Genomic DNA, 15,113 nt, shown 5'->3' on the forward strand with positions numbered 1-15,113 from the left:
GCCTGTTTGAGTCCTTGGCCATTGGCCAGAGAAGCTGGGCTCTGGAAGCAGTTCAGGGAGACTGCAGTGAATGGGAGGAAGGCTCCCAGCTGAGAGGAGGCTCTTGGCTGTCCACTGAGGAGAGGCTAGGAATCCTTCACAATGAACGATTGAGAAATCCTCCAGGAAGGTAAACAACTTCAAGTGTGCAATTGGTGGCCAAGGATGAACTACTGATGTGAGCAAAAGGCCAACTAAGTGTCCGCCCGCTTACTCATTTTTTCTCTTCTTCTTTTCCACTCCCTCCCTCCTCTTCCCCTTCCTGCTCCTTCTCCTCCTCCTCCACCTCCTCCTGCTGCTGCTTCTCCTCTTCTTCCTTCCTTTTTTCATAAACCACTAAAATGATTTATTTTTTTCAGGTATCTAAACCCTAGATGTTTAAAATCTCCAACATCTATTTTAGATGGAGTGTGGGGTGATGCACACAGCCTAGAGAAACTCCTTATGTAACTGAGGTGTTTGCCAACCCTTCACTATTTCTTCTCATTACTGGTCTGTAACTCAGGGCTCTTCTGCACAGATATAGTAGGTAAATTGCAGAGTTGGTGGTCAAATAGACCTGGATTAGAATTCTGACTCCATTTCCATCGAACTGTGTGTCCTTGAGGAAGTTGTTTAATGTCTCTGATTTTCACTTTCCACACTAAGAAAAAGCACAGACCCTGCAGAATCATAAAGAGGAAATCTCAGATGCATTCCATTACCCAGCTCTCTCCGTGTTAAAGAGCTTCAAGGTTTGCTCCTCTTTTCTTCCCTGGTGACAATTTTCATGTGCCGGGTAAAAATATTACTCACTCACTCATTTGTTTATTCACTAAGTGTTGACTTTATGGGATAGTCACTGTTCTAGGTTCTGAGTTTTGAGGAATGAATCGAAGACACAGAGTCCCTACTCTCATGGAGACAGGCTCCTGGTAGTGAAGGTCAGTAAGTGAACACCAGAAAAGAAGGTGAACAAAATTTTACCTTTTAATTACTGTTATATTTCCAGTCCCATGAATGGGTCCTGGCACATAGTAGGTGGTCAGTTAATATCTGTAGAATGATTTAAATGAATTACATTTGGTAAAAAAAATTAAAACAGAGAGCGGCGCCGGCCTCGGCGGCTGAGGAAAGCAGGAGGAGGTGGTGGCGGCGGGAAGATGTAAGTTGGCGCGGAATCCGACCGCATCCGTGTTTCGGGGGCTGCCCGGCAGGACGCATCGTGAAGCCGGTCCACTCCTCAGCCCCGCAGTGCGGCGGTGGTCTGGCAGCGCGGTGCGGGCTCCGAGAAGAAAGAGTGTGGCCCGGGGCGGGCGCATTAGGAGGTGTCGAGGCCGTGGCCCGGAAGTGGTCGGGGCCGCTGCGGGCGGAAGGGCGCCTGTGCTTCGTCCGCTCGGCGGTGGCCCAGCCAGGCCCGCGGGACTCAGACCAGCGGGGAGCGCGACCTCCGCCCTTGGGGCTCTCCCGCTGGGCCGGAGACCCAAGCCCCCAACGCTAGGCCCTGCCCTGGAAGCGCTCGCGGCCCGGCGCCTGGACGGGGAAGTTGTGAGTGAACGCGGACGGGTAGCGGCAAGGTCGGCGTGTCGGGCCGGTGTCGGCGGGCGCGGAGTTTCTTTGTGGGATGCGGTGGAAGGTCGGCTGATCCCCCCTTCGGAGTCATTAATTCAAACGTGTACTCCGCGAACGTTTCCCGGACTCCCGTGTGCAATTATCGACGCTAGGCCTTGGGGATACGGCCCACTATGGACCGAGCACGGTGGCCGAGCTCAGTTTGATGGGTTACCCCAGAGGGGCGGATACGGGAAGATTAAGGTTGTTGGAGGAGAAACGTGGAGTAGGCTTTTTGTCTTGATTCCGCATGAACTGTGCCTGAAATGTACTTTTAAATGGGGAAGGTGCTCTGAAGATTTGTGCCGAAACGCCCTCTCCTCGAGATTTAACTAATTGTTCTCTCCTCTCTCTGGCTGTTGGACGCGCACCTTTCCAGAGGATGGGGGAGGTAACCGAGGTCCTGAGCCGGTACCTGAACTTGGGTGAACAGAGAACCTCAACTTTTGCTTTCTAGCACTCGACCGCACCCAGCAAGGCGTCCGCTTACTCAGTGGTTCTCAGTGTTTGGAGTGCTTAAGAATAACTGGTGGCTGTTCATGTCCTTTGCCCACTTTTTGATGGGGTTGTTTGTTTTTTTCTTGTAAATTTGTTTGAGTTCATTGTAGATTCTGGATATTAGCCCTTTGTCAGATGAGTAGGTTGCGAAAATTTTCTCCCATTTTGTAGGTTGCCTGTTCACTCTGATGGTAGTTTCTTTGGCTGTGCAGAAGCTCTTGAGTTTAATTAGATCCCATTTGTCAATTTTGTCTTTTGTTGCCATTGCTTTTGGTGTTTTGGACATGAAGTCCTTGCCCATGCCTATGTCCTGAATGGTAAATTAGCCTAGGTTTTCTTCTAGGGTTTTTATGATTTTAGGTCTAACGTTTAAGTCTTTAATCCATCTTGAATTGATTTTTGTATAAGGTGTAAGGAAGGGATCCAGTTTCAGCTTTCTACATATGGCTAGCCAGTTTTCCCAGCACCATTTATTAAATAGGGAATCCCAAAGAAGACATTTATGCAGCCAAAAAACACATGAAAAAATGCTCATCATCACTGGCCATCAGAGAAATGCAAATGAAAACCACAGTGAGATACCATCTCACACCAGTTAGAATGGCAATCATTAAAAAGTCAGGAAACAACAGGTGCTGGAGAGGATGTGGAGAAATAGGAACACTTTTACACTGTTGGTGGGACTGTAAACTAGTTCAACCATTGTGGAATTCAGTGTGGCAATTCCTCAGGGATCTAGAACTAGAGATACCATTTGACCCAGCCATCCCATTACTGGGTATATACCCAAAGAACTATAAATCATGCTGCTATAAAGACACATGCACACGTGTGTTTATTGTGGCATTATTCACAATAGCAAAGACTTGGAACCAACCCAAATGTCCAACAATGATAGACTGGATTAAGAAAATGTGGCACATATACACCATGGAATACTATGCAGCCATAAAAAATGATGAGTTCATGTCCTTTGTAGGGACATGGATGAAATTGGAAATCATCATTCTCAGTAAACTATCGCAAGAACAAAAAACCAAACACCGCATATTCTCACTCATAGGTGGGAATTGAACAATGAGATCACATGGACACAGGAAGGGGAATATCACACTCTGGGGACTGTGGTGGGGTGGGGGGAGGGATAGCATTGGGAGATATACCTAATGCTAGATGACGAGTTGGTGGGTGCAGCACACCAGCATGGCACATGTATACATATGTAACTAACCTGCACAATGTGCACATGTACTCTAAAACTTAAAGTATAATAAAAAAAAAAAAGAATAACTGGTGGTGTTTGATTTCACAAAGTACATTTGGGCAGATCTTTAGTTCTTGGGGGGGTGGGGCTGGAATCTGCGGGTGTGACCGCCACTCTAGGTCTGTGCTGTCCAGCAAAGTAGCCATTGGCCACATGTGGCTACTAAGCATGTGAAATACAGCTAATCAAGACTGAAATATTAAAACACACACCAGTTTTAGAAGACTAGGAAAAAAGCAAACCTTTATTAGATTTTTATGTTGATTATATGTTGGAAAGATAATATTTTGGATGTGTCAAATGTTAAAAATTAATTTCACCCATTTTTGTGACGTGGCTACTAAGGAATTTCAGGTGATGCTTGTGGCTCCTCACACGGTTTCTACTGGACAGTGCTGCTGCAGGTGATCCTAAGGCGGGTGGGTGCAGGAACCCAGCTGAGAGTTTAGAAATTACGTGTAAATTTGGAGACAAGTGTCTGTGGGGGAAGGAGCCTCCGGACGTGGAGATACAACTCTTGCTCCTAACATTTATCGAGTCTTTAATTAATGCCCTGGGTAACTATAAGGTTGGAACTGTAATTGTCACCATATTGATGATGAGAAACTTGAGAAAGGATAAGTGACTTGTCTAAAATCACACAGTAAAACCTCAAATCAAACCCAGGCCCTCTGGCTCCAGACTCTAAATTATACTCTGAATGATACTCACTGATTGTCCGAGGACACAGTGTCGAGGCACTATCTGCTGGGTGTCTGCAGAACCTTACTGTTCTAAAGCAAAACATTTTACCCCTGGACAAGAGCAGCAAAGGTGGCGTTCGGCCCTCCTTGGCTCTCATTTGACTGTTCAAAGCCAAGTGCTTTTCTTTCTTGGGTCAGAACATATTTTCAGCAGCATTTTGAAGCACCCCTGGCATGCACTGCACAGGGAAACCAGGACCACATTGGTGTGCTGCGTCCTCCTTACCAACTGGCTCTTGGAGGAGGCCGCTCTTTGGCGTAAATTGCAATCGATTAGGGATCGTTTCTCAGAATCAAGTTAGAAGTGAGAGTTCAGATAAGTGAGGCCGCCATTGCTGCTTTGAACACCTCAGAAGGGGAGAATGGATTTATCAGGAGTGAAAAAGAAGAGCTTGCTGGGAGTCAAAGAAAATAATAAAAAGTCCAGCACTAGGGCCCCTTCACCTACCAAACGCAAAGACCGCTCAGATGAGAAGTCCAAGGATCGCTCAAAAGATAAAGGGGCCACCAAGGAGTCGAGTGAGAAGGATCGCGGCCGGGACAAAACGCGAAAGAGGCACAGCGCTTCCAGTGGTAGCAGCAGTACCAGGTCTCGGTCCAGCTCGACTTCCAGCTCAGGCTCCAGCACCAGCACTGGCTCAAGCAGTGGCTCCAGCTCTTCCTCAGCCTCCAGCCGCTCAGGAAGCTCCAGCACCTCCCGCAGCTCCAGCTCTAGCAGCTCTTCTGGCTCTCCAAGTCCTTCTCGGCGCAGACACGACAACAGGAGGCGCTCCCGCTCCAAATCCAAACCACCTAAAAGAGATGAAAAGGAGAGGAAAAGGCGGAGCCCATCTCCTAAGCCCACCAAAGTGCACATTGGGAGACTCACCAGGAATGTGACAAAGGATCACATCATGGAGATATTTTCCACCTATGGGAAAATTAAAATGATTGACATGCCCGTGGAAAGGATGCATCCCCATCTGTCCAAAGGCTATGCGTGCGTAGAGTTTGAGAATCCAGATGAAGCTGAGAAGGCGCTGAAGCACATGGATGGAGGACAAATTGATGGCCAGGAGATCACTGCCACCGTCGTGCTGGCCCCCTGGCCTAGGCCAACCCCCAGGAGATTCAGCCCTCCCAGGAGAATGTTGCCACCACCGCCTATGTGGCTCAGGTCTCCCCCACGGATGAGGAGAAGGTCCCGCTCCCCGAGGCGCAGGTCCCCCGTGCGCCGGAGATCACGGTCCCCGGGCCGCCGCCGCCACAGGAGCCGCTCCAGCTCCAACTCCTCCCAATAAACAGGCCACTGAAGCTCTCGCCCCTGTAACTTATACGCCACCCAGCTCAGTTTTGTCACTTTTCTAGCCAAAGCAAGACCAGTAGGAAAGCAAACCCTTGACTCTGGCAGGATTTGCAGGCAGCAGGCAGCACCCCTCTGCCAGCCGGGCTCCGGCTGCAGAAGTGCTGTTGGCTTGGATGCTGTGTGCCTGTCAAGATTCCCTCCGGTTTTCTGGCTAGAAAGCTCACCCGTTTCCGGTTTTAAGAGTCAGTTCAGTGGCAGAGCCACCAGGGACAAGTGAGGCTCTTGGGGGTGGTTTGACCCTGCTTACCTGGGAGCACACTTTTCCCTTCCCCGATGACCTGGGATGGTGGCCAGGCCGTGCCCTTGCTGTTGCTGGGCAGTGTCTTTTTGGAAAGGGAGCTGCCCCAGGCTTTAGTGCAGCTGCCAACGCTGTTAGGCCTGGCCTCTCGAGGCCTCTTCTGACTTCAAGGGTCACAGCCCCCCAAAGATCCTCTCACCCATGGTAGTTGCTGCTCATGGTTCTGTCTGTCCGTGCACCGATGCATACACCACACCCCACCGCTGTACTCTGAAATTGGCGAGTGAGTTGAGAGCCAGCTCTGCGGGGTCATCACGCAGCCATGGTTGTGCCTGTCCTTCATGGTGGTCTTTCAGGTTATCTTGGCAACATGTACATTGCTTTTATTTTTTTTCTTTTTTGCTTTTATTGTACAGTCAGTTCTATAAAATTTCTCTTTTGAGTTTTATACCTTTGTAGCATTTTAGATGACATTGTGTTTGTACTTTGTTGTGTAGAGTGGAAGAATTGTGTTGAATAAACCCAAGATCGGAATGCAAATCTAAAAAAAAAAAAATTAAAACAAAAGGGGCAACATTTAAAATAATATTTAATCTGTATGTTACTAATATACCTAGTAATGATCAGTTCTATGAGGAAAAATCAGTACAATGAAAATCGAAAGTTAGCAGAAGTTATAAGGTGGTGAGGGAAGCCTTTATTTGGTGGTATTTGAGTAGAGAGCTAAGTTAAAGTGAGGCAACAATCATAATGAATATTTATTCATGACCTAATCACATGAGAAGAGTTCTTCTTTTCCACACATTTGATTATTCAGCTCTCCGTAATCCAGTAAGGGATTGCCGTTATCATTGCCATTCCAACATTGATGGAAGGAAGCACTGGGAGTCAAAGAACTTGTCCAGGGTCAAACTCTCTTCTGTCTGTCTGGAGATATTTCCACTCTAGATAGACAGAAGAGAGGTTGAGATTTGAACCCATAACCCTGACTCTAGGTTTGTGTGTTCAGCCTTCATGTGGCACTGCCTGAATTCCATCAGGTTAGGTGACATTCTCAAGCCTTGGACCCCTCAGATTCAAATTATAGAATAATGGTTCAATCATATTGTGTGTTTCAGAATAACCTGTGCTTGAAATGTTAGTAGCAGATGGAAATATTTGCAGCCCCCATAAGCAAATAGTACAGGCTTTAGGATTTTGGAGCAAGCTCTGCCATCATCTTCAGAAAACTCTTCTCCTTTTGAGAGACAGCTCTCTGCCAGCTATTAGGCCTTAGTAGAAACTGAATGCTTGACTATGGGCCACTAAGTATCCATGCTATCTGTGCTACTTATCATGAACTGGGTGTTACATGACATACCAAGCCATAAGGTTAGGCACGCAGTACAATACTTCATCACCAAAGGAAGTTCTGTATACTGATTCAGACCCAAGAAAGTCCTGAAGGCAGAAGTAAATTACATGAAGAAGTGACCCAAATGCCCATGGTCCCTACTCTGGCTACACTGCCTTCTCTCTTCTAGCCTGCACCTGTGGCTTCGTGGGTAGTACCCTATGATCAGTTGACAGAGGAAGAGGACAGTTGAACCAGGCTTCAGATGTTTTTGCATAATATGCAGACACCACCAAATGTGGGCAGCTGCAGCTCCACAGCCTCTTTCCAGAATATCCATGAAGGACAGTAGCAAAGGGAAAACCTCCCAGTGAATAGAACATTGGGCAGTGCACCTGGTTATGCACTTTACTTGGAAGGAGAAATGGCTAGACATGCAATTATGTGTCAATGCATGGGCTGCAGAATCAATGGTTTGGCTAGATGCTCAGGGTCCTGGAAGGAAATGGAATCTCCATTTATATTTATGTCTTTCGCAACAGGCTATGTGTCAGGCCTCTGAGCCCAAGCCAAGCCATCGCATCCCCTGTCACTTGCACGTATACATCCAGATGTCCTGAAGTAACTGAAGATCCACAAAAGAAGTAAAAATAGCCTTAACTGATGACATTCCACCGTTGTGATTTGTTCCTGCCCCACCCTAACTGATCAATGTATTTTGTAATCTCCCCCACCCTTAAGAAGGTACTTTGTAATCTCCCCCACCCTTAAGAAGGTTCTTTGTAATTCTCCCCACCCTTGAGAATGTACTTTGTGAGATCCACCCCTGCCCGCAAAACATTGCTCTTAACTTCACCGCCTATCCCAAAACCTATAAGAACTAATGATAATCCACCACCCTTTGCTGACTCTCTTTTCGGACTCAGCCCACCCGCACCCAGGTGAAATAAACAGCTTTATTGCTCACACAAAGCCTGTTTGGTGGTCTCTTCACATGGAAGCGCATGAAACTATGGGCTCCACCAGGACAAGAACTGCATCTGAGCCACCTGTGAGTCACTGGGATTTTAGGGTGCAGAGAGGCCCAAACTTTGAAAAGGGAACACGGAACAGTATGGTCCGAAGAGGAAGAAACCTGAGGAAGACAAGCCTGACTTTGTTGGCTCTATCTCTTAAACTGCTCCAGGGCTGGGAGTCAGAATGCTTCCCTGGGCTACAAGAACTTGAGTTGTTAAAACCATAAATTTCATCCTCACTACCTGTATGTTTGAAAATAGCGATACCCCCTTCCAGAAGTCACTCAGTGCAGTTAAGAGGCTGCCTTGAAGGGAGTCCATTGAGCTTCCTTTTATCTGTGTCCTGAACCTGAGGCTCCTCACAGACCTGGAGTCTGTGTTTTCTCCAGCACCCCTTGGGGGGCTGAATAATGTCACCACAGATATCCACATCCTAGTCCCTGGAACCTGTGAATATGTTAAATTACACAGCAGAAGGACTTTGCAGGTATGATGAAGGTTAGAGTCTTGAAATGGGGAGATAAGTTACCTGGGTGAACCCAATGTGGTCACAAGAATCTTGAGGGAAACAGAGGTAGATCAGAGTCTGAAGGAAGGTGATTTGATGTGAGACCACTAGCCAAGAAATGAGAATGGACTCTAAAACCTAGAAAAGACTTTATGAAACATTCTTCCCATTGCCTCCAGAAGGAACAGATTCCTGACAACACTTTGATTTTAGCTCACCAAGACCGAGTTTGAACGTCCAAATTTCAGAACGGTAAGAAAATACATTTTTCTTGTGTAAGCCACTAAGTTGCGGCAATGTGTTTCCGTGGCGATAGAAAACAAATACAAGCCATTTGATGGATCTTCTGAGTTGACAGACGTCTACTTGAAGATGAACAATCCATTCCTGTGTAAGGCAGACACTCTAGTTTCTTATGGTTATATAAGTGAGCCAAAGATGGCCTCTATGTATTGGCTACTGGGTTGTTTACTTCTTTGCAGAAGGCTGAGACCCCTGAGCTCAAAATTCCACTTGCTTCAAAGTCAAATATTTTTGCATATCCAATTATTTAAAATATAACCCAAACAAGCCAACTGTAGCCTGCTTGTTTTGCATACTCCGGGAAACCTCACCAGGTAATTGTTACCCATTGATAAGATAGGGCCTTGTAATTACAAATTCAGAAGAAGCAGCTGCTACCTTTGGGAGCTTTCTGACGCGGCCTTGCTGTTTAGCAATATCACCTGGGCACTCAAACCACTGGATGGTCTCGTGCTGTAAGGACTTTCCTGTTATGCAACCCTGTCCAAGTACTGCCCCATAAGGCTTGTTGTGTGTTACAGCCTTTCAGGATCATATCTTATTTATTGATCAGCCCCCAAATCCCTTGAACTTCCTATTTACTGGCCTCTAGTAGGAGAATGCCCAGTTGCCCAGGACTTATTTTAAACAACTAAACTATTATTTAAGGAATCCAATCAGATTGTAAGGTGTCAAATTTTCTCCATATAAGACTGCATATATATATATATATATATATACACACACACATATACATATATACACTTAACTCTATGTGACGTTAAATATAGTCAGTTTTATTTCCAATTATATAACACTTTTCACTTGCTATCTAGCAGGAAGTTGGCATACGATACAAAATGATACCTACTCAATTAGCCTGTGCGTCTGATGGAGATAAACAAAACAAAAATAATTTGAAGGTACACCCACCCCTTGTTAATGTATTCTTTTGGTTAATTTATTACAGCTCAAGTATACTATCTGCTTTTGACTATTAAGGAGCTTATCTATTTAGTACTTACTCCAGTTTGGGCAGCTATGCTCAACGCATGATCAGGAATTGTTGTTTAACAGAACTGAGAGGGCAAGGGGTTAATTTCCACCCTGGAAATTGCTGACTGATGATGCATTCACACTGAGGTTGTGTCGCTGAACGTTTCACAGGTAGATTGGGAATAACGTGATTTAGAGAGGCAATAATATACTTCTCAGGATGGGAGAAACTGAAAACCGCTTGTACAGTAGTTTAAGTTACAAGTGTAAATGATTTATTTGGTTTGAAGCTAAGTCACATGTTAGGCACATGAAAAGTGGGTGTAATTAAGCCTGCTTCACGTTAAGTACCATGTTTATTTCCCATCTATAAACTGATAAATAATGCAGCAATTGGTAACTGAAATTGTCATGCAATAGTGATGCATAGATTTAGCATTTTTATAGAAGATTTTATGCATATCCTAGAAATGAGTCAAGAACATAATTGACTTGCTTGCAATTAAATACAAAGTTCACATAGAACGTAAGATTAATGTTTTCCCCTGTTTTGGGACACACAAACAGAAACACACACACACTCACATAGTGGTAAAATATATATAACATACATTTGCCCTTTTAATCTCATGTGTATGATTATATGATTCAGAGCCATTAATTGCTTTCAAAATGTTGTGCATCCATCACCATTATTTCTAGAAAGTTTTCAGCACCCAAACAGAAACTTTATACCAGTTAAGCAATAACACTTCATTGCCTACCCGCCAGCCCCTGGTATCTGCTAATCTACTTTCTATCTCTATGGACTTTCCCACTATAGATATTTCATGTAAGTGCAATCATAGAAGATTTATTCTTTTGTGTCTGGTTTATTTCACTTAACATTTTCAAGGCTCGCCCTTGCTGCAGCGCGTATCAGAACTTCATACATTTTCTTGCCTAAATAATATTCTACTGTATAAATACGTCCATTTAGTTTATTCATTCATCAATCGATGGACATAGGTTGTTTCTGCATTTTGACAATCATGAATAAGGGTAAGATTGGATTTTAATAAATAGAAGGGCAAGACTGAGATATCCCTTGACCTTTACAATTCTTTTTGTCCTTTTCAAACTTGCCATCCTCCACCTCTCTAGAAAAAAAATAATAATAGTAAGTAGGGCTATTTGCATTGAGAGGGGGAAATAACTGAATTTTAAAGGAATCATCTCGATAAAAATGAAAAAAAATGATAGATAATTGAAAATAGTCATTTTACATCCTTGAAAAACGGTTAACAATCATCTTTAGAAAAAAGTAAATTTCTCAACTAGTTAGTAGAAGTGTTTTAAGAAAATTAACTTTAATCTGCATCTGTCTATGTGTAAGAAGAAAGAACAGGAAAACCATCAGCCTTTTCTTTTTTTTTTTTTTTTAATTATACTTTAAGTTTTAGGGTACATGTGCACACTGTGCAGGTTAGTTACATATGTATACATGTGCCATGCTGGTGCACTGCACCCACTAACTCGTCATCTAGCATTAGGTATATCTCCTAATGCTATCCCTCCCCTCTCCCCCCACCCCACCACAGTCCCCAGAGTGTGATATTCCCCTTCCTGTGTCCATGTGATCTCACTGTTCAATTCCCACCTATGAGTGAGAATATGCGGGGTTTGGTTTTTTGTTCTTGCGATAGTTTACTGAGAATGATGATTTCCAATTTCATCCATGTCCCTACAAAGGACATGAACTCATCATTTTTTATGGCTGCATAGTATTCCATGGTGTATATGTGCCACATTTTCTTAATCCAGTCTATCATTGTTGGACATTTGGGTTGGTTCCAAGTCTTTGCTATTGTGAATAATGCCACAATAAACATATGTGTGCATGTGTCTTTATAGCAGCATGATTTATAGTTCTTTGGGTATATACCCAGTAATGGGTTGGCTGGGTCAAATGGTATCTCTAGTTCTAGATCCCTGAGGAATTGCCACACTGACTTCCACAATGGTTGAACTAGTTTACAGTCCCACCAACAGTGGAAAAGTGTTCCTATTTCTCCACATCCTCTCCAGCACCTGTTGTTTCCTGACTTTTTAATGATTGCCATTCTAACTGGTGTGAGATGGTATCTCATAGTGGTTTTGATTTGCATTTCTCTGATGGCCAGTGATGATGAGCATGTTTTCATGTGTTTTTTGGCTGCATAAATGTCTTCTTTTGAGAAGTGTCTGTTCATGTCCTTCGCCCACTTTTTGATGGGGTTGTTTGTTTTTTTCTTGTAAATTTGTTTGAGTTCATTGTAGATTCTGGATATTAGCCCTTTGTCAGATGAGTAGGTTGCGAAAATGTTCTCCCATTTTGTAGGTTGCCTGTTCACTCTGATGGTAGTTTCTTTTGCTGTGCAGAAGCTCTTCAGTTTAATTAGATCCCATTTGTCAATTTTGTCTTTTGTTGCCATTGCTTTTGGTGTTTTGGACATGAAGTCCTTGCCCATGCCTATGTCCTGAATGGTAATGCCTAGGTTTTCTTCTAGGGTTTTTATGGTTTTAGGTCTAACGTTTAAATCTTTAATCCATCTTGAATTGATTTTTGTATAAGATGTAAGGAAGGGATCCAGTTTCAGCTTCCTACATATGGCTAGCCAGTTTTCCCAGCACCATTTATTAAATAGGGAATCCTTTCCCCATTGCTTGTTTTTCTCAGGTTTGTCAAAGTTCAGATAGTTGTAGGTATGCGGCGTTTTTTCTGAGGGCTCTATTCTGTTCCATTGATCTATATCTCTGTTTTGGTACCAGTACCATGCTGTTTTGGTTACTGTAGCCTTGTAGTATAGTTTGTAGTCAGGTAGTGTGATGCCTCCAGCTTTGTTCTTTTGGCTTAGGATTGCCTTGGTGATGCGGGCTCTTTTTTGGTTCCATATGAACTTTAAAGTAGTTTTTTCCAATTCTGTGAAGAAAGTCATTGGTAGCTTGATGGGGATGGCATTGAATCTGTAAATGACCTTGGGCAGTATGGCCATTTTCACGATATTGATTCTTCCTACCCATGAACATGGAATGTTCTTCCATTTGTTTGTATCCTCTTTTATTTCCTTGAGCAGTGGTTTGTCGTTCTCCTTGTAGAGGTCCTTCACATCCCTTGTAAGTTGGATTCCTAGGTATTTTATTCTCTTTGAAGCAATTGTGAATGGGAGTTCACTCCTGATTTGGCTCTCTGTTTGTCTGTTGTTGGTGTATAAGAATGCTTGTGATTTTTGTACATTGATTTTATATCCTGAGACTTTGCTGAAGTTGCTTATCAGCTTAAGGAGATTTTGGGCTGAGACAATGGGGTTTTCTAGATATACAATCACGTCATCTGCAAACAGGGACAATTTGACTTCCTCTTTTCCTGACTGAATACCCTTTATTTCCTTCTCCTGCCTAATTGCCCTGGCCAGAACTTCCAACACTATGTTGAATAGGAGTGGTGAGAGAGGGCATCCCTGTCTTGTGCCAGTTTTCAAAGGGAATGCTTCCAGTTTTTGCCCATTCAGTATGATATTGGCTGTGGGTTTGTGATAGATAGGTCTTATTATTTTGAAATATGTCCCATCAATACCTAATTTATGGAGAGTTTTTAGCATGAAGGGTTGTTGAATTTTGTCAAAGGCTTTTTCTGCATCTATTGAGATAATCATGTGGTTTTTGTCTTTGGCTCTGTTTATATGCTGGATTACATTTATTGATTTGCGTATATTGAACCAGCCTTGCATCCCAGGGATGAAGCCCACTTGATCATGGTGGATAAGCTTTTTGATGTGCTGCTGGATTCAGTTTGCCAGTATTTTATTGAGGATTTTTGCATCAATGTTCATCAAGGATATTGGTCTAAAATTCTCTTTTTTGGTTGTGTCTCTGTCCGGCTTTGGTATCAGAATGATGCTGGCCTCATAAAATGCGTTAGGGAGAATTCCCTCTTTTTCTATTGATTGGAATAGTTTCAGAAGGAATGGTACCAGTTCCTCCTTGTACCTCTGGTAGAATTCGGCTGTGAATCCATCTGGTCCTGGACCCTTTTTGGTTGGTAAGCTATTGATTATTGCCACAATTTCAGCTCCTGTTATTGGTCTATTCAGAGATTCAACTTCTTCCTGGTTTAGTCTTGGGAGAGTGTATGTGTCCAGGAATTTATCCATTTCTTCTAGATTTTCTAGTTTATTTGCGTAGAGGTGTTTGTAGTATTCTCTGATGGTAGTTTGTATTTCTGTGGGATCGGTGGTGATATCCCCTTTATCATTTTTTATTGTGTCTATTTGATTCTTCTCTCTTTTTTTCTTTATTAGTCTTGCTAGCGGTCTATCAGTTTTGTTGATCCTTTCAAAAAACCAGCTCCTGGATTCATTGATTTTTTGAAGGGTTTTTTGTGTCTCTATTTCCTTCAGTTCTGCTCTGATTTTAGTTATTTCTTGCCTTCTGCTAGCTTTTGAATGTGTTTGCTCTTGCTTTTCTAGTTCTTTTAATTGTGATGTTAGGGTGTCAATTTTGGATCTTTCCTGCTTTCTCTTGTGGGCATTTAGTGGTATAAATTTCCCTCTACACACTGCTTTGAATGCATCCCAGAGATTCTGGTATGTTGTGTCTTTGTTCTCGTTGGTTTCAAAGAACATCTTTATTTCTGCCTTCATTTTATTATGTACCCAGTAGTCATTCAGGAGCAGGTTGTTCAGTTTCCATGTAGTGGAGCGGCTTTGAGTGGGATTCTTAATCCTGAGTTCTAGTTTGATTGCACTGTGGTCTGAGAGATAGTTTGTTATAATTTCTGTTCTTTTCCATTTGCTGAGGAGAGCTTTACTTCCAACTATGTGGTCAATTTTGGAATAGGTGTGGTGTGGTGCTGAAAAAAATGTATATTCTGTTGATTTGGGGTGGAGAGTTCTGTAGATGTCTGTTAGGTCCGCTTGGTGCAGAGCTGAGTTCAATTCCTGGGTATCCTTGTTGACTTTCTGTCTCGTTGATCTGTCTAATGTTGACAGTGGGGTGTTAAAGTCTCCCATTATTAATGTGTGGGAGTCTAAGTCTCTTTGCAGGTCACTCAGGACTTGCTTTATGAATCTGGGTGCTCCTGTATTGGGTGCATATATATTTAGGATAGTTAGCTCTTCTTGTTGAATTGATCCCTTTACCATTATGTAATGGCCTTCTTTGTCTCTTTTGATCTTTGTTGGTTTAAAGTCTGTTTTATCAGAGACTAGGATTGCAACCCCTGCCTTTTTTTGTTTTCCATT

At 43.4% G+C, this 15,113-nt stretch overlaps 1 non-coding gene and 1 pseudogene across 1 annotated transcript; both read left to right on the forward strand.

The window, feature by feature from the left end:
• Nucleotides 1,343–6,271, forward strand: RNPS1P1 (RNA binding protein with serine rich domain 1 pseudogene 1; annotated as a pseudogene).
• Nucleotides 1,349–1,443, forward strand: MIR572 (microRNA 572). The gene has a single exon (NR_030298.1). It is a non-coding gene; the product is annotated as a microRNA 572 (primary transcript).

Source organism: Homo sapiens, chromosome 4 (assembly GCF_000001405.40).
Source record: "Homo sapiens chromosome 4, GRCh38.p14 Primary Assembly".
Lineage (NCBI taxonomy): Eukaryota > Metazoa > Chordata > Mammalia > Primates > Hominidae > Homo > Homo sapiens.